At 45.9% G+C, this 17,663-nt stretch overlaps 1 protein-coding gene and 1 long non-coding RNA gene across 15 annotated transcripts in view, besides 2 other annotated features; one reads left to right on the top strand and one right to left on the bottom strand.

Annotated features, from left to right (window-relative positions):
• ZNF76 (zinc finger protein 76) overlaps positions 1-13,547 on the bottom strand; it is a 36,453-nt gene extending 22,906 nt beyond the window's left edge. For 7 of the 12 annotated variants that reach the window (NM_003427.5, NM_001292032.2, XM_047419302.1 and 4 more), the window contains exon 1: positions 13,239-13,345. The gene's annotated coding sequence lies outside the window, so the exon portion shown is untranslated. The other 5 variants (XM_017011249.3, XM_017011256.2, XM_047419300.1 and 2 more) reach the window with 1 other exon arrangement.
• Positions 12,913-13,232: a silencer, noted in NCBI's record as "silent region_17087". NCBI's record gives its function as "represses an Ori minimal core promoter by ATAC-STARR-seq in GM12878 lymphoblastoid cells {active_cell/tissue: GM12878}" and the evidence as "EXISTENCE:reporter gene assay evidence [ECO:0000049][PMID:35858748]".
• Positions 13,243-13,362: a silencer, noted in NCBI's record as "silent region_17086". NCBI's record gives its function as "represses an Ori minimal core promoter by ATAC-STARR-seq in GM12878 lymphoblastoid cells {active_cell/tissue: GM12878}" and the evidence as "EXISTENCE:reporter gene assay evidence [ECO:0000049][PMID:35858748]".
• A 77-nt stretch (positions 13,548-13,624) lies between the features above and the next one.
• The window catches only part of SCUBE3-AS1 (SCUBE3 antisense RNA 1), a 39,086-nt gene continuing 35,047 nt past the window's right edge, over positions 13,625-17,663 (top strand). For 2 of the 3 annotated variants that reach the window (XR_001744102.2, XR_007059558.1), the window contains exon 1: positions 13,625-13,790. This is a non-coding gene — a long non-coding RNA (SCUBE3 antisense RNA 1). Of the gene's footprint in view, positions 14,011-17,663 lie in introns of all 3 variants that reach the window. The other variant, XR_001744099.2, reaches the window with a different exon arrangement.

Genomic DNA, 17,663 nt, shown 5'->3' with positions numbered 1-17,663 from the left:
GGTTCAAGCGATTCTCCTGCCCCAGCCTCCAGAGTAGCTGGGATTACAGGTGCGCGCCACCAGGCCCGGCTAATGTTTTTGTATTTTTAGTACAGACAGGGTTTCGCCATGTTGGCCTGGCTGGTCTCGAACGCCTGACCTCAAGTGATCCACCTACCTTAGCCTCCCAAAGTGCTGGGATTACAGGCATGAGCCACCATGCCCAGCCGAGACACCGTCTTAAAAAAATCAATGTGAGGCTGAGGTCAGGTGCAGACACCGTCTCTACAAAAATAATTGCCAGGCATGGTGGCACATGGCTGTGGTCCCAGCTACTCGGGGGCTGAAGTGGGAGGAACATTCAAGCCCAGGAAGTTGAGGCTTTGGAGAGCCATGATTGTGCCACTGCACTTCAACCTGTGTGACAAAGCAAGACCCTGTCTCAAAAGAAAATGAAAAACATCAATCTACTTCTTTTCTAATTCATGCTGGCATAAACACCAAGGTGGAGAACTGCCTTAAGAAGTTTTCTTCCTTTAACTACCAGAAGTCCAACTACCTCTTGGATATATATATGTGCATATACATACACACACACACACACACACACACACACACACACACACACACAGAAACAGGGTCTTGCTCTGTCACCCACACTACAAGTGCAACGGCATGATCATAGCTCACTGCAACCTTGAACTCCTAGACTAAAGTAATCTTCTTGCCTGAGACTCTCAAATATCTGGGACTACAGGTGTGCACTACCAAGCCTGGCTAATTTATTTATTTACTTACATCTATCTCTATTTACTTATTTTTGTAGAGATGGGGTCTTGCTATGTTGCCCAGGCTGGTCTTGAACTCCTGGCCTCAAGTGATCATCTCACCTCAGCCTCCCAAAGTGCTGAGATTAACAAGTATGAGCCACCTTGCCTGGTGGATATATTTTTAATGCAGTAGTCTTCAAACTGTTTTTGTTGTTGTTGTTGCTTTGAGAAAGGGTCTCGCTCTGCTGTCCAGGCTGGAGTGCAGTGGCATGATCATAGCCCACTGCAGCCTTGATCTCCTGGGCTCAAACGATCCTCCCACCTCAGCCTCCCGAGTAGGTGGAACTACAGGTGCGTGCCACCATGCCCAGCTAATTTTTCTTTTTTTAAATTTTTAAATTTTTGTAGAGATGAGGTCTTATTATGTTGCCCAGGCTGGTCTTGATCTCCCAGGATCAAGTGATCCTCCCACCTTAGCCTCAACAAAGTGCTAGAATTATAGGCATCAGCCACTGTGCCTGGCTGTATTCTTCAAACTGGGATGTGCCGTGTTTTGTTTGTCTTGTGGAATAGTGTCACAGTGGGACCCCATGATTCAGTATCCTATGTTGATCTTCAGGGAATCTGCTATATATATTTTTTTTTCTTTTTTTTTTTTTTTGAGACGGAGTCTCGCTCTGTCGCCCAGGCTGGAGTGCAGTGGTGCAATCTCAGCTCACTGCAACCTCCACCTCCAGGGTTCAAGTGATTCTCCTGCCTCAGCCTCCCAAGTAGCTGAGACTACAGACACGAGCCATCACCCCCGGGAAATTTTTTGTATTTTTAGTAGAGACGGGGTTTGGCCATACTGGCCAGGCTGATCTCTAACTCCTGACCTCAGGTGATCTGCCCGCCTTGGCCTCCCAAAGTATTGGGATTACAGGCGTGAGCCACTGTGCAGCAGAATCTGCTATATTCTTAACTCAAAGCAATGTCCATGAGGCTGTGGAGAAACAGGCACAGTCATACATTGCTGGTGGTGGGAGAACATATTGGCAAAATCTCTATGGAGGAGAGTTTGACAATAGCAACCAAAATTACAAATGTACATATTATCTGACCCAGCAATTTCACATCTAGTCTACAGGTAGATGGACATGCGTGAAAATGGCACATGTCCAAGGTTATCTATGGCATCTCTGCATGTAATAAAAGCAAAAACTTAGAAACAGCATAAATGTCCATCAATATCAAACTTCCATACTACGTAGACATAAATGAGGAAGCTCCTTACATATTGACATGGCAAGATCTCCAAAACATAATGAAAAAAATGGCTAGGTATAAAACAGTGCCATTTATTTATTTATGAGACGAAGTCTTGCTCTGTCGCCTAGGCAGGAGTGCAGTGGTGTGATCTTGGCTCACTGCAACCTCTGCCTCCCGGGTTCAACAGTGCTTTTTATGTAATGTCATTGGCATTAAAAAATCTGTGGGCTGGGCGCAGTGGCTCACACCTGTAATCCCAGCACTTTGGGAGGCTGAAGCAGTCGGATCACCAGGTCAAGAGATCTAGACCATCCTGGCCAACATGGTGAAACCCCATCTCTACTAAAAATACAAAAAATTAGCTGGGCATGGTGGCACACACCTGTAGTCCCAGCTACTCGGGAGGCAGAGGCAAGAGAATCGCTTGAATCCAGGAGGTGGCTGCAGTGAGCCGAGATTGCGCCACTGCACTCCAGCCTGGTGACAGGGCGAGACTCCATCTCAAACAAACAAACAAAATCTGTGGAAGGATAGTCAAGAAATTATTAAAATTACTAACCAGGGTTGCCTGTGGAAGGATGACTGAGTGGTGATGACGATGGAAGGGCGACTTTTCAGGGAATATCTTTTATACTCCACGAAAAACAAATGGCTGGGTGCAGTGGCTCATGCCTATAATCAGTACTTTGGGAGGCCAAGGCGGGCGGATCACAAGGTCAGGAGTTTGAGACCAGCCTGGCCAACATAGTGAAACCCCATCTCTACTAAAAATACAAAAATTAGCTGGGCATGGTGGCACGTGCCTGTAGGCCCAGCTACTTGGGAGGCTGAGGCTGGAGAATCACTTGAACCCAGGAGGCAGAGGTTGCTGTGAGCCAAGATTGCACCACTGCATTCCAGCTTGGGCGACAGAGCAAGACTTGGTCTCAATAAAAAAATAAAAATAAAAAAAGCCTTGAGAATGTGTTACCTACGCAACATAAATAAAAAATTAAAAATAGAAAGTCTAAATGCATGCTTTGTACTCCCTTTGTTGGTTACAGGAATATCTATGATTCTCCATACATGAGGAATGGAGAGTCCAGTGTTGATATGATGGATTCCATGTTACTGATCTACAGCAAAAGCACATCCGAAAACTGAGCTTCGTGATTCATGGAGGCCATTCTATAACATCATATGGAAAGCTGATCAGCTGAGCATGAGGCAACAGCAAGTCTATACAGGACCTGAGGACATGGTGGCTTCAACATGTGTGTCCCCAGCCTGGTCACAAGGGTGGGTCTGGACGAAGTGGTGGCCTAAGCAGGGTCTACCTTTCCCCTTCATTGCTCCATGTGGCCACAGGACAGTATTTCCTGGGTTGAGAAGATGATCTCAGAGAAAGAACTCTGGTCTTAGGCACCCCTGCCAAATCCCCAACATCAAAGCCTCAAGTCAGTTCTACAACCTCAAAGAGCTCCCAGTTCCTTGGTTCTTATCTTAACTGTATGGGTCTCATGCTTTATCAACCATCCAAAAGTAGCAGGAACTCCCAACAAATGAAGTGATGAAGTGAGATAGTACCAGGGTAACAAGTTGTATCTGGCCTTCTTAGGGATGAACTATTCACCAGAGGGCCAGCTCTAAGGGAATGTCAAATAGAGGCACTAGAAAAGAGGCACTCTGGCTTCCAGGTAATGACAGTATAATGAGCCTGAGACCCCGAATGACCTGTCCAACATCACAAATCCTTCTGATTCTGAACTGGAAGAGAGGAGCCTGAGTACGCCTCATACATTTTTTTTTTTTTTTTTTTTTTTGAGACAGAGTCTCGCTCTGTCGCCCAGGCTGGAGTGCAATGGCATGATCTTAGCTCACCACAACCTCCGCCTCCCAGGTTCAAGCTATTTTCCTGCCTCAGCCTCCCCAGTGGCTGGGACTACAGGCGCCTGCCACCATGCCCGGCAAATTTTTGTATTTTTAGTAGAGATGGGGTTTTACCATGTTTGCCAAGCTGGTCTCGAACTCCTGACCTCAGGTGAACCACCCGCCTCAGCCTCCCAAAGTGCTGGGATTACAGACATGAGCCACCACACCCGGCTGGCCTCATACTTTTGCCAGCAAAAGAGACAATTGCATAGGATTTGTGAGACCATCACATTTCTATATCTTGACTGATAGCTGCCAGGGTAAAAGGCATTTGAAGTTTGTTGGCAGCTTTAGGAAACAGCACTCAAAACAGGTTAGGGCCATCTGTTAAAGACAATGGCTTCAGCTGCACTTGGATTTGTATTGCAGGTGGTTTTTTTTTTTTTTTTCTCTCTTTTTGAGATGAAGTCTTGTTCTATAGCCCAGGCTGGAGAGCAATGGTGCGATCTTGGCTCACTGCAACCTCCGCCTCCTGGGTCCTGGTTCAAGCAATTCTCCTGCACGCCACCATGCCCAGCTAATTTTTGTATTTTTAGTAGAGATGGGGTTTCACCATGTTGGCCAGGCTGGTCTTGAATTCCTGACTTCGTGATCTGCCCATCTCAGCCTCCCAAAGTGCGGATTACAGGTGTGAGCCACTACACCCGGCCAGGTTTCGTTTTTTTTGTTTGTTTGTTTTTTCTTTTTTCACTCTCCAGGACAAAATTTCCCCATTCCATTACGTGGTAGATGTTGACTATGTCTCCTCTAAACTAATTTTGTGGGTGACTAATTTTGTCAATTAGGATGAGCTATATCTTATACTCTTATCTGGTCAAAGAGACTCTCCTCACGATATAAACGTAGACATCTAAATGACACAAGAATAAACACAGCCACAGGGACAGTTTCCAGATGCAGTTAAAGGGTTACACTGCCACGGAGTGTGTTTTCCTTAACACCTGACTCTTTTAGGGGAAAATAACATTCTTACTTTCTGTTACAGTGATTATAATTTAAGTTCCTGGAGAGCATGCCTTTCAGCCTAATTAGCACCTAACAAAGAATGTGCCCACAGATACCAAATGATTAATACTACTAGGTTACATAGCTAACTGAGCTCTTTAGCTCAGATTTGAATCCTGATTCAGTTCTGCTTATTGTAATATCTAAGTTGAACTCCTGAGACCAGATATGAAACTCTTCATCTACCACAGAACTGTGAGCTTCTAAGAGAAGCTCCTGGCAAGGAAGTAAATGTTGAACGAAAGAATGGAGGAGGGAAGGAACTGAAGCCCCCACCACTCCAACCCTTCCCAACCACTCCCAACTCTTCCCTAGTCCAGCTAAGTGGATGACTTTTCCCTCATCGGGATTACCATCTTGCCTCATCTTTGACATGCACGTTCACTGTTTCCACGGAGACCCAGATCAGGAACAAGCTTTCCCTGGCTAATGTCACACTCCAGCCCCATGTTTCGTCTGCACTTGGCAGTGAAGCCACAACAGGGGGTTGTCTGCGGTGCTCCCTGAGGGCACAGATTCGTCTTCTCCATCATCGTATCCTCATGTGACATAGTGCCCACCACATGGCAGGCACTCACTGGGTATTACTTCAGCGAATGAAGGAAGAAATCTTATTGCCAATACCACTACCTGGTGTAGAACTCAGCAGTTTCCAAAATGCTCTCAGATACACATATATTATCATGTTTATTCTAAGCACTTAATTCATCAACTCCCACAATAGGAGGGGCTGAGAACACAACTCATTCCTAGTCTAAAGTGGTCATTTTGGCTGGGTGTGGTGACTCATGCCTGTAATCCCAGCACCTTGGGAGACCGAGGCAGGTGGAGGCTTGAGCCCAGGAGTTCAGGACCAGCCTGGGCAGCATGGTGAAACCCTCTCTACCAAAAATACAAAAATTAGCTAGGCGTGGTGGTGCCCATCTCTGTAGTCCCAGCTACTCAGGAGGCTGACATGGGAGGACTGATTGAGCTGGAGAGGTCACTGCTGCAGTGAGCCTCCATGATTGCGCCACTGCACTCCAGCCTGGGTGACAGAACAAGACCTTGTCAAAGAAACAGATAAGGGGCCGGATGCAGTGGCTCAAGCCTGTAATCCCAGCACTTTGGGAGGCCAAGGCGGGCGGATCACAAAGTCAGGAGATAGAGACCATCCTGGTTAACACGGTGAAACCCCGTCTCTACTAAAAATACAAAAATTAGCCGGGCGCGGTGGTGGGCACCTGTAGTCCCAGCTACTCAGGAGGCTGAGGCAGGAGAATGGCGTGAACCCGGGAGGCAGAGCTTGCAGTGAGCCGAGATGGCGCCACTGCACTTCAGCCTGGGTGACGAGCGAGACTCCGTCTCAAAAAAAAAAAAAAAAAAAAAAGAAATAGACAATAAAATAAAATAAAGCAGTCATTTTGCAGATGAAGAGACAGAGGCCTGCGTTGCCAGAGGAGTCCCAAAGGATCACATAGCTACCTGGTGGCAGAGCAGGGCCTAACACCTGACCACCAGTGTTCTTCCCATACTCCGCTGTCTCTTGCCAGGTGATGGTGTTCTTTTATTTCCTGAGAGTAGACATTTCCTAGGCTCCAAAAGACTTGAATATCCAGCTGCTTACTCAACATCTCGACTTTGATATCCAAAAAACACTTCGAACTTGACATGTTCAAGAGTGAATTCCTTATCTCCTCCTTCTAACAACCTGCCCTCCTTCCAGGCTCCCCAATTTCAGTAGATGGGAATTTTACCATTTTGTTACTTAGGCCAAAAATGTGGGAGCCAGGCAGATCACGAGTTCAGGAGTTTGAGACCAGCCTGGCAAATATGGTGAAACCCCATCTCTACTAAAAATACAAAAATTAGCCGGGTGCGCTGGCATGCACCTGTAGTCCCAGCTACTCAGGAGGCTGAGGCAGAAGAATCACTTGAACCCAGGAGGCGGAGGTTGCAGTGAGCTGAGATCACGCCACTGCACTCCACCGTGGGCGACAGAGCGAGATGTCTTGAAAAAAAAAAAAATTGTAGCCACCCTCAACTGCTATTTCTTTTATATATCACATCCAGTCCATCAGCAAATCCTGTTGGCTCCTTTCCAAATACATCCAGAAGCCAACCACTTCTCACCTTTCCATTGCTTCACCTTGGGTTCAAGCCACCAACTTCTCTTGTTTAGACTATTGTAGTAGCCTCCTAACCAGTTTCTCTCCTTCCATTTTTGCCCCGTTATAGCTTATTCTCAACACAGCAGCCACAATGACCTTTTCAATATGTCAGGCCATGTTATTTATCTGCCTAGAATTCTCTAATGGCTACCATCTCACTCACAACTCACACTACAAGCCAGTGGCCTGTGTGATCTGCCCCCAATTCACCCCCACCGCAACATCTGCCATTTCTTCTCTCACTAATATACTGCAGCCGTATTGGCTGGCTTCCTCATGTTTCTTGAATATATAGGGCACATTCCTGCCTCAGGGCCTTTGTGTTTGCTGTTCTTCCTGACTGGAATAAATTTCCCCTAGATGTATGCTTGACTTACCCCCTAACTTCCTTCAGGTCTTTGCTCAAATGTTACCTTTTTAGTGGGAACCTCTTCAACTACCCTATTTAAAATTTTAACACCCAGAATCCTGGCATTTTCTTCTTCTTCTTCTTCTTTTTTTTTTTTTTTTGAGACAGAGTCTCGCTCTGTCGCCCAGGCTGGAGTGCAGCAGCGTGATCTCAGCTCACTGCAACCTCTGCCTCCTGGGTTGAAGTGATTCTCGTGCCTCAGCCTCCCGAGTAGCTGGGATTACAGGTGCCTGCCACCACGCCTGGCTAATTTTTGTATTTTTAGTAGAGCTGGGGTTTCGCCATGTTGGCCAGGCTGGTCTCAAACTCCTGGCCTCATGTTATCTACCCAACCCAGCCTCCCAAAGTGCTGGGATTACAGGTGTGTGCCACTGCACCTGGCCTACTCCTGGCACTTTCTATCTCCCTTCTCTGCTTAATTTTCTCAATATATATTTTACTTATTTGTTTATTGTCTGTCTCTACCCTGTCCATTCCTCAAACAGTGAGCTCACTGCTCTATTCCCAGTACCTAGAAAAGTACCTGGCACACAGCAGATATTCACCAAATATTTGTGGGATGAATGAATCAGTGAATGAATGAATATATATACCTTTAGGATCTCCCAGTAACTTGAAACCTTTAGGCAAGAAGGGGAAGACCCTAGTAGAGCTCTGGTCTCTCTCCAGCCCTCAGTCCCTCTTTCCTCCTTACTGCCTCACCCTCTTCTCAGGTCCAGTCCAGCCCTATTCCACCAGAAACCATACCTAAGCTGAGAAGCAGTGCAACAGGTGCTTGATGCCAGGATGTTACAATTCCCAGGCCACTAGGTACAGAATTCTGCAGGGTGCTAATTTTTAAATTTAGCATCCTGATATCTCACAAACAGAAGAGGTCAGAGAAAGGTTAGGACTAAATATACTACTTAACCTAGATAACAGTACTGATTCAGAAACAGTAGCTCATTTGCTCTGAGGTGTTTTCCAAGGAACAGTGCTAAATTTGCACTTGTTCACCTAGCTGCCCCTGCCTTTAATCTTTTTATAATGGATTTCCAACATACACAAAAATGGAAAGAATGGTATAATGAACCTCTTGAACCCATTATCCAACTTCAAAAATTACCAACATTTTGCCTCCTTGGTTTCCTCTGTTCCTTAATCGTCTCTGCAACCCACACTAAATATTTCAAACTAGCTGTTTTCTTGAGAACAGATTTATATAAGACAGCCCCTGATGCTGTTACCACTGTATTTGAGCAACTGCGTCAAACAACCTATCTTACCAGAAATACAGTAGAAAAAGAAAAGCACTTACACCCATTCCCCCACCCGAGCAATGACTAAAAAAGGAAGTGTCTAAATTACCGACGTTTAAATCAAGGGACATGCCCATTATCATGTTTGGAGAACTTTGGGGAGGGGTGTTGTGTCCACAAAATGAATGTAGACATGAACTGCTTTTACTTTTGTACACCTGATGCAGAATTTCTGAGTGAGTTAATTTAATCCAACAGGTAAGTACTGACTACCTGCTAAATGTGAGGGAAGAGATGAAGACAGAAGATAAAGAAAACCAGCCAGGTGCAGTGGCTCATGCCTGTAATCCTAGCACTTTGGGAGGCTGAGGCGAGTGGATCACCTGAGGTCAGGAGTTAGAGATCAGTCTGGCCAACATGGTGAAACCCTGTCTCTACTAAAAATACAAAAATTAGCTGGGCATGGTTGCAGGCGCCTGTAACACCAGCTACTTGGGAGGCTGAGGTGTGAGAATCACTTGAACTCAGGAGGAGGAGGTTGCAGTGAGCCAAGACTGCACCACTGCACTCCAGCCTGGGTGACAGAGTAAGACTCCATCTCGAAAAGAAAAGAAAAAAGAAAACCTAGTCTCTGTTCTCACAGAGCTCACAGAGTGGGGTTGAGAAAAGTACACAAATAACTCAAATACAAGGCAGAATAAGTTCTGTGCCCTAAGTAAACAAATCTAAGGCAAGAACTCCTTTTTAAAATCCACCCACAGCAGTTGTAGAACCCAGGGTATACCCTTTCCTCAACTCTAGTTTTAGTTTCTGCTGTATTTATTGCTGCACAGCCAATAAGTACATTATAAGAGACCTGGGAATTTGGTGACCCACAGAATAGACTTTTGGATGTGGATCTTTGATGTCACATTTTGCTACTGACTCTTCAGACTTCAGTGGTTGGGGATTATCAAGTTTTCCCAGGGCTTGGAAAACAATGGGGCTAATTCAGTGCCTGCAGAAGCTGACACCCAAAGCATTCTACTCTGAGGGCATATACAGCAAGCAGCTTCATAACAGGATAGGATAGTGGGAGGGTGTCCAGGAGACACAGCTAGATTGATTCTGAAGGACTTCAAAGGGCTCTCTCCCTGCCCTCTAAAAAACCAAGATCCTTTGGTGATCTATTATCAGAAGTCATCAGAAGTTCCCAGAGAAGAGTGTAGTTCTCTGGATAAACCGAAGAGACTGATGAAGTTTGGTGGAACAGTGCAGCATATGAAGGAAGCAGAGCTGAAAGCAGCAGGGGCATACGCATGGCCCTGGAGATAGATGCACAAGAGAGTGGAGGAAGAAAGGAGCAGACCTGAGATGGAAGGGAGATTTATATTGTAATCAATTATCAAGATTGGTGAGGTGAGGATGGCTGAGGGGACAAATAAGAGGAAGGCAGGAAGAGGAGGCCCTGTGGAAGGGTGAAAGACAATCCGGGTTTGAAAAGGTGAGGGAGGAATCTGAGAGGCAGGATCTCACAGGATACTGGGCAAGGGTATGAGAGGAGAGGCCTTAGAATGGGAGGGTGTGCAAGTTATACAGGATTGCTTCATGCTGGGATGGAAGGAGCCGATTCCATTGAAGCTAGTCACATCAAGAGGTCACTAAATGAAGGACAAATTATATGAAGGTTTCAGGTCACAGAATGTGGCTGAGGATGGCAGAAGGTGGGGTGGTGGGAGTAGAACACTGAGACTAAAAAATAGGATGAAAGGCAACTGGGCTAGATGGTTTTAGAGCATACAGACTTGTGGATTCCTGGGGCTAAGGGACTTAACAAGATGAAAGGATTTGGGGTAAAGTGCCAGTGAGGTGGGAGACACTGTATGGTGAGTGAGTTCACAGGGAAAGGGCTGGAAGCGTCAAAGATTCATAGAACAAGAGATATTTGGGCAAAGGATGAAGAGAGAAGTTGACTGGGTTCAAGACACTACTCCAAAATATGGCAACTTGAGAAAATGGCAGTAGGAAGGTCACTCTCACTTTCTCTGAGGCTCTTCTCCCCTGAAGCAGATCACAAAACCTAGGAAGGATTTTTCTGACTTTCCCCTGAAGCAGGTCATAATACCCTCCTCATAAAGAGGTGCCCTCCCTATACTCAGAGGAAAGAAGCACCCTTATCTGTGAAGACACAGGGACACAGAGAAGAGTCTGAACAAACAGGCCTTGCTAAGTTTCTCCCAGTTTATTACTATTTGATATTACCCTTTTTGTATTTTTCCACAACTATCCACTCTTCATCAGATCTAGTATAAAAATATACAAGTTTAATCATTTCTTTAGGTCTTCATTTCCTTATGAAGGCTCCTGTCACATAAAACTTACATTAAATAAATGTATATAATCTTCTCTTATTAAATCTGTTGTTATAGGGGCCTAAGCCATGAACCTAAGAAGATATTTTCCCTCCCCTACAAGGTGCAGGGGCTTCAGGGGATATGAGATCAAAAGTCATGAACAGCAGGATGAGAAAGTCACCAAGTTACATGGCAAACGGTAATAGAAACCTTGGGGGTCAGGGCCAGTCTTGGTGGCTCACGCCTATAATCTCAACTACTTGAGAGGCTAAGGTGGGAGGATCTCTTGAGGCTAGGAGCTCAAGAACAGAAACCTTAGGGATCAAGGAACGAGCTGATGTTGTATTTAGGAATTACTAGAAAATAAGGAATAAGGAGCTGAGGTTGAGTAAGTCTGGGGGAAAGACAGGCAATGGAGTAGGGTTTTGTTTTGTTTTTTTAAACTGTGGGTTCAAATCTTAGCTCTGCTACTTAGCTGTGAGAGTTTCTGGTTCATTTCTCTGAAACCAACCAACCAACCAAACAAAAATATGGGAAGGGAAAATGGTGGATATAATAATAATTAACTCTTGGGGCTGTTGAGACGTAAATTTAACTTATATATCCAGAGCTTGGCACACAGTAGGTATTCAGCAAGCCAATCGTTATTGAGGCAAAATCAGGGTAAGAACCAGAGAAGTGAGGCTACAGCAGAGATGAGAAGATAGGGATTCCAAGATGTCAGTAGTAGCAACATAATGCAAGGTATGGGCCACATGTTCAGTCTGTTAAATCCCTAGCACTCAGGACAGAGTAAGATCCATAGCAGCTTCTCATTTCTAACAACAGCTTATGCTAAGGGTTCCCATGAGCCAGGCATGGTGCCCGGTGCTTTACATATGTTATGTCAGGCACTACTATTTTCTCCCTTCGCAGAGGTGGAGACTGAAGTTAAGACAGGCTAAATAATATACCAAAAGTCCCATAGCTGAAGGGCCAGAATCAGTCTGGAACCTAGGTTTGTTATGAACTCAATGCCCCCAAATGAAGCACTCTGCTATACTGCTTTGCAAACATGTTAACTGATGGGGCCTGATCAAGGGAAATGGGTATGCACTATGAAGAGTGAAGAGGGTGATCCGGGAATGAGGGAGTAAGGTTCATGATGCAAGCAGATCCTGGGATGAGGTTACAAGAGGAAATTTCCAGGGTGGGGTACAAAAATGATTGCAAAAAATTATTATCTTGACTGAGAACTGCATAATTTCACAATTTCACAGACGGAAGGAAACTCAAAGATCATCTAACCCAACCTCATCACAGTCATGATGAGAAACTGAGGTCCAGACTGAGGAGGGGACTTCTCACAGGTCCCTAAAGCACAGCAGTGACAGAGCTGGGACCACACACTGGATTGACTGGATTCTGGATTGATCCAGAATTCTCTGATGCCTCCAATTATTACTACTTCATATTAATCTCTATATCCTCCTTAGCACCAGAAAGGTGCTGGACGCTTGTAAGTCATGTGCTGATTGACACTGAAGGGCTGGGATCGCAGAGAGAGATGCCAGTGGGGGTGATTTTAGGATAAAGGCAGACGTGGAACGAGGGTCATACGGCTACAGGATAAAGATACTGAGGGTTGTGTACAAGGTGAGTGCGTGGAAAACTATTGGAGTAGGGCTTAGGAGTCGCCAGCAGAGTTTTGAGGGGAGTCACCGAGTTTGTGGGGAACACAAGGTAGAATCGGGGGGGTTACTGGGCCAGGAGGGTTACCCAGGTTTGGGGGTCACTAAGGAGGAGTGTGGGGATCTCAGGGTCATGTGAGTCACCGGATTAAAACTGAGGGAGTCACTGGTTGGTGGGTCTCTGAGAAGTGCTGGGGAAATTCCTGGGTTAGCAGCCAATGAATAATAACCAACGGTTACCTGGTGAGGTCTTGGGGTCAGTGGGTGGGGTGTGGGGTCACAAGGGTGGAGGCGGGCGCCGTCACGGGGTGAGGTTTGGGAGTCACGGGGGAGGAGCCGCAAGGCGGAAAAGAGGGGCAGGGACCCTGGGTGGGGGAGGGGGCCCGGCCGCGGTCCAGCGGCCAGGCCGCCCTGCTAGGGCCGGAGGGAGGTGGGCACGCCGGGCTCGGGACCTTCCCGGGGTCCTGCGCCCGCCCGGCCTCCCGCCCTGGGCATGGTTGGCCCACTCCTCCCGCAGCCACCAACCTGACAGCCCCCGAGGGCGACTCCGCCGACAGACCGCCATGCACCGGGCCCCGCCACCAGCGCCGGCCCCACAACCCGCCTGCGCCATAGCCCGCCCGCCCGCGCGCAGCTTGCCTCGCGCGATATCCAGGTTCCAGGGCCGCCGCACTTTCCTTTCCTCTTGGCGCGCCTCTACCGGGCCCCGGAACCCGTATAGAAAATACCGGGCACGGTCCACCCCGCCCCCCGCTTCGCCGCGGCAGCCATCCAACTTATCCTGGTTCCGGGGCTCCTGGAGCCCAGGCGGCCGGGATCTGAACCGAGCTCTTCGGAGCCCCGCCCCCACCAAGGCCGGGGTGACGCATGGCCAGCGAGGCTGAGCGCCCAGGGAAGGCGTGCTGACGTCACGACGCCCGGGTCAGGGCCTGGGCGCGGCTCGGAGCCGGGTCGTCGCTATAGCAATCGGGAACCGCTACCTGTCCATTCCAAGGATTCGGTCCAGCAGAAGCGTGAGGAGGTGGCGGAGGCCCCGAGGGCTTTGCGTCATCACTTCTGCGGCCTGCGGGCGAGAAGGTGCGCTTCGGGAGTAGCGCGGGAGGACAGGAGGCGCAGGTTGTGAGGGACGCAGGCCCTGGGGCTTCGGTCTCTGTCCTCCGAGCTCAGAGCCTCCAGGCTTCTTCCCGGCCGCGCGCTCAGCACTCACTGTCTTACGGTCCCGAAGCGCTTTAAGGTGCGCAGTCCGCAGGCCTTGCCTACTGATCTTCCAGCCACCCCTTGAAGGAAGCAGTTGCAGGTATTAAGAGCTCCTTATTGAAAAGGACGATGTAGAGGGGCGGTGAGGGACTCGCCTCCGCAGGGAGGGCGCCCTGGCGGTCTTCTCAGGTTCTCTCTCATTCCCGCGTCAGCTCCACCGTCAGGCTCGAAACCGACTACTCCCTTTTGTAGGCTTGCTTTGGGTTGAACATAAAAACCAAGCCCCTTTACTATTTCCCTGCTGGGAGGGGCTGCGATTGGGAAATTTTCAGAAACCTGAGGGAAAATTAAAAGGGAGCGAGCTTTCGGTAAAAAATCAAATTAAAAAGGAGGGGCGTTAGAGAAGGAACTGGTAAAGATTGCCTTTTAGGAGAGGAACTGGGTGGCTGGAAGAATGAGGTGAGAAACTTTCCCCTCTCTATCCTTTCAGACTTTAACTGGTTTCTTTTGTATCTTCCCCGCCCCGAAAACAATTTAACTTAATAAGAATAATTTTTAAAGGACGTAAACTAGACACAGTTACAAAGTACGGGGTTTGGGGCTTGTGGTAGCTAAAGGTGTCTTTGGGGATGCGGGCATCCTTTTCCTCTCCTGCCTGAAGAGCTTAACTAGAAAGCCCCCCTTTCGGTCTTAGACATCCCCTCTTCCTGACTTGTTCTGGCTGGGACCAGAGTTCAGTTTAGGTAGGCCAGTGAGTGACATTTGATGGTTAGAATTCCTACGGTTAGAATTAATCCCTTCTGTATCTCCTAGTATGGAAATAAACTGCCTGGCCACTATGCTGCCCTCTTTCCATTCCTTTTTGGTGGAAGTTTGACAAGTTATTTCCCATAGAAAATAACTTATAGGCCGGGCGCCGTGGCTTAAACGCCTGTAATCCCAGCACTTTGGGAGGCTGAGGCGGGCGGATCACGAGGTCAGGAGTTCGAGACCAGCCTGGTCAACATAGTGAAACCCCCCCTCTCTACTAAAAATACAAAAAAATTAGCTGGGCGTGGTGGCGGGCGCCTGTAATCCCAGCTACTCCGGAGGTTGAGGCAGGAGAATTGCTTGAACCCGGGAGGCGGAGGTTGCAGTGAGCCAAGATCGCACCATTGCAGTCCAGCGCGGGCAACAGTGTGACTCCGTCTCAAAAAAAGAAAAAAAAAAAGAAAAAGAAAAAGTACCTTATAGATACAGAGAGAAGATTAAGTAGCTCCTCTTATAATATGAATTGAGGGTTAGAAATACCGCAGGGAATAGAACTCAGGCTGTACCTGAGTTTGTCCCTCTCCAACCACCCTTTTTCCATAGCTCTCTCTGTATATATATATCTGTCTTTTCTCACATTCCTTACGGATCGTAATCTGATGGCCAGTCACCTCTGCAATTATACATTTAACAAGAGCTCTGGGAAACAGTGTCTGAATCTGAAGTAATGATCCTAATGGAAGGTAATTTCAGGTTCTCAGGAGAATTGGTGAGGATATTTTGGAGGGCAGTATTGAAGACCATTGCTAGCAGTTTCTCTCCTATCCCTTCCACTCAACATATAGGCTGGTGATCTTCAGACATTTTTTAGAATGAACCCATAAAAGAATTTTGAAGAGCTATGTACCTCTTGTTCATTTTTAAGTTGATACCTAAATTTTCCTTCATTAATTTAAATACTTATAGAGGATACAATTTCAAATTTTGACATCTTAAACTAAGACTTACATCATTCTTTTTTTCTGAGACGGAGTCTCGCTCTGTCAACCAGGCTGGAGTGCTGCAGTGGCGAAATCTCAGCTCACTGCAACTTCCCCTTCCAGGTTCAAGCAATTCTCCTGCCTCAGCCTCCCGAGTAGCTGGGACTACAGGTATGCGCCACCATGCCTGGCTAATTTTTAGTAGAAACGGGGTTTCATGGTGTTAGCCAGGATGGTCTCGATCTCCTGACCTCGTGATCCGCCCGCCTTGGCCTCCCAAAGTGCTGAGATTACAGGCATGAGCCACCACACTTGGTCTACATCATTCTTAATGTATCTGGCAGGGCAGGCACAGTGGCTCATGCTTGTAATCCCAGCACTTTGGGAGGCTGAGACAGGCGGATCCCGAGGCCAGGAGTTCGAGACCAGCCTGGCCAAGATGGTGAAACCCTGTCTCTACTAAAAATACAAAAATTAGCCGGGCATGGTGGTGCGTACCTGTAGTCCTAGCTACTCGGGAGGCTGAGGCAGGAGAATCACTTGAACTCGGGAGGCGGAGGTTGCAGTGAGCTGAGATCGTGCCACTGCACTCTAGCCTGGGCTACAGAGTGAGACTGTCTCACATTAAAAAAAAGTATCCGGTGGATTCCAAGTACCCTAAAAATCTAATGCCTACCATCATCCACTTAAAAATATATGAACAAGCTCTTCAACAGAAATTTTATATGGTTCTCTTTCTCCTTATACTTTGAATTCCATTCACTTCCTGTAATCATTAGTATATAACTTACTAAACTTTTTTTTTTTACTAAATATTACTAAATACTAAATTTTCCTAAATATTTTTAACATTTTTATGACTTGTGAAACCTAAAAAGTACAATTTTTATTGAAAATGCATCTGTTAATGAGAAATATGGTGTTTCTCCCCAATTAGTTCAGGTATTCATGGATTAATATTACCTAATGGTAGAAGGAGATAAGGTGCAACATCAATCCTTTACCTGTTTTTTATTTTTATAGACATGAGTATTGAGAAACCTTGTTTCCACAATTGGGAAAGGAAGAGATTTGTTACAATGATATTCTTTGAGTCTTTGAACTTCTAAATTATATGCCAACAATCACAGAGTGATCTATTAATACTATCAAATAGAGTCTTCTTTTAATTTTGTTAAAAGCAAAGGATTAGAAACCACTGAACTTCCAAAAGGATTTAGTTATTAGAGTCTCAGTTTTGGTTTTATTAAACATGATTATTAATTATCTGTGACCTTTACACTCAGAGACACTTTGTTAATCAGATATTGATTTCCATACTTCTTTGCCTACACAATATTTTTTGGTAAAATTCTTTAATTATTACATGTCTTCAAGAACTTTTTGTTAAACTGAAATGCAGATTCAGCTCATTCACTGTATAGAAAACAACTGCCATTTGTGGAATTGGCAAAGCCAGTTTTCATTTCAAACCAATCAGCCAAATCAGACCTACTTTCTGTTAGAAACATGTCTGACTTTATTCTTCCATTCAAATAAATATGTTAACATTCATTTTGAGGAATATTATAAAAATTATTAGGAAATAAATGATTAACTATAGCTTATAAAATGGACCACTGATAAACCAGTCAAGATTAAAATTATTTAGACCTACTATTAACATAATAAATGGTAAAAATAAGATAGTACTGTTTTTCATTATATAATTAGGAATAATGCTGTATAATGTATAGTTAAATCCATCAGTTTTGAGAAGTCATATAGAAGGCATATATTCCCTTGGTAAATGTGTGTGCCTGCTTTCATCAAACTCTTGTTGTTCAGCTTTTGGGAACAATTAAATGAGAATCATGTCTAAAAATCAGAAATAACTAATAATCTTGTTACACAAATTTTTTTCTTCTGTATTTTTTAGAAAGGAAAGCTGTATTTGCTAAGAAATAATGAATTGAGCAGCTAGCAATTTCACTTTTTACTAGGAGGTAGAAAATAATAAACATTTTATATAAGATAAAATAGG

The sequence above is a fragment of the Homo sapiens genome, chromosome 6, assembly GCF_000001405.40.
Source record: "Homo sapiens chromosome 6, GRCh38.p14 Primary Assembly".
In the NCBI taxonomy this organism is placed as follows: Eukaryota; Metazoa; Chordata; class Mammalia; order Primates; family Hominidae; genus Homo; species Homo sapiens.
Note: the sequence above shows the minus strand (reverse complement) of the source record. Positions and strands in the feature narration are given on the sequence as shown.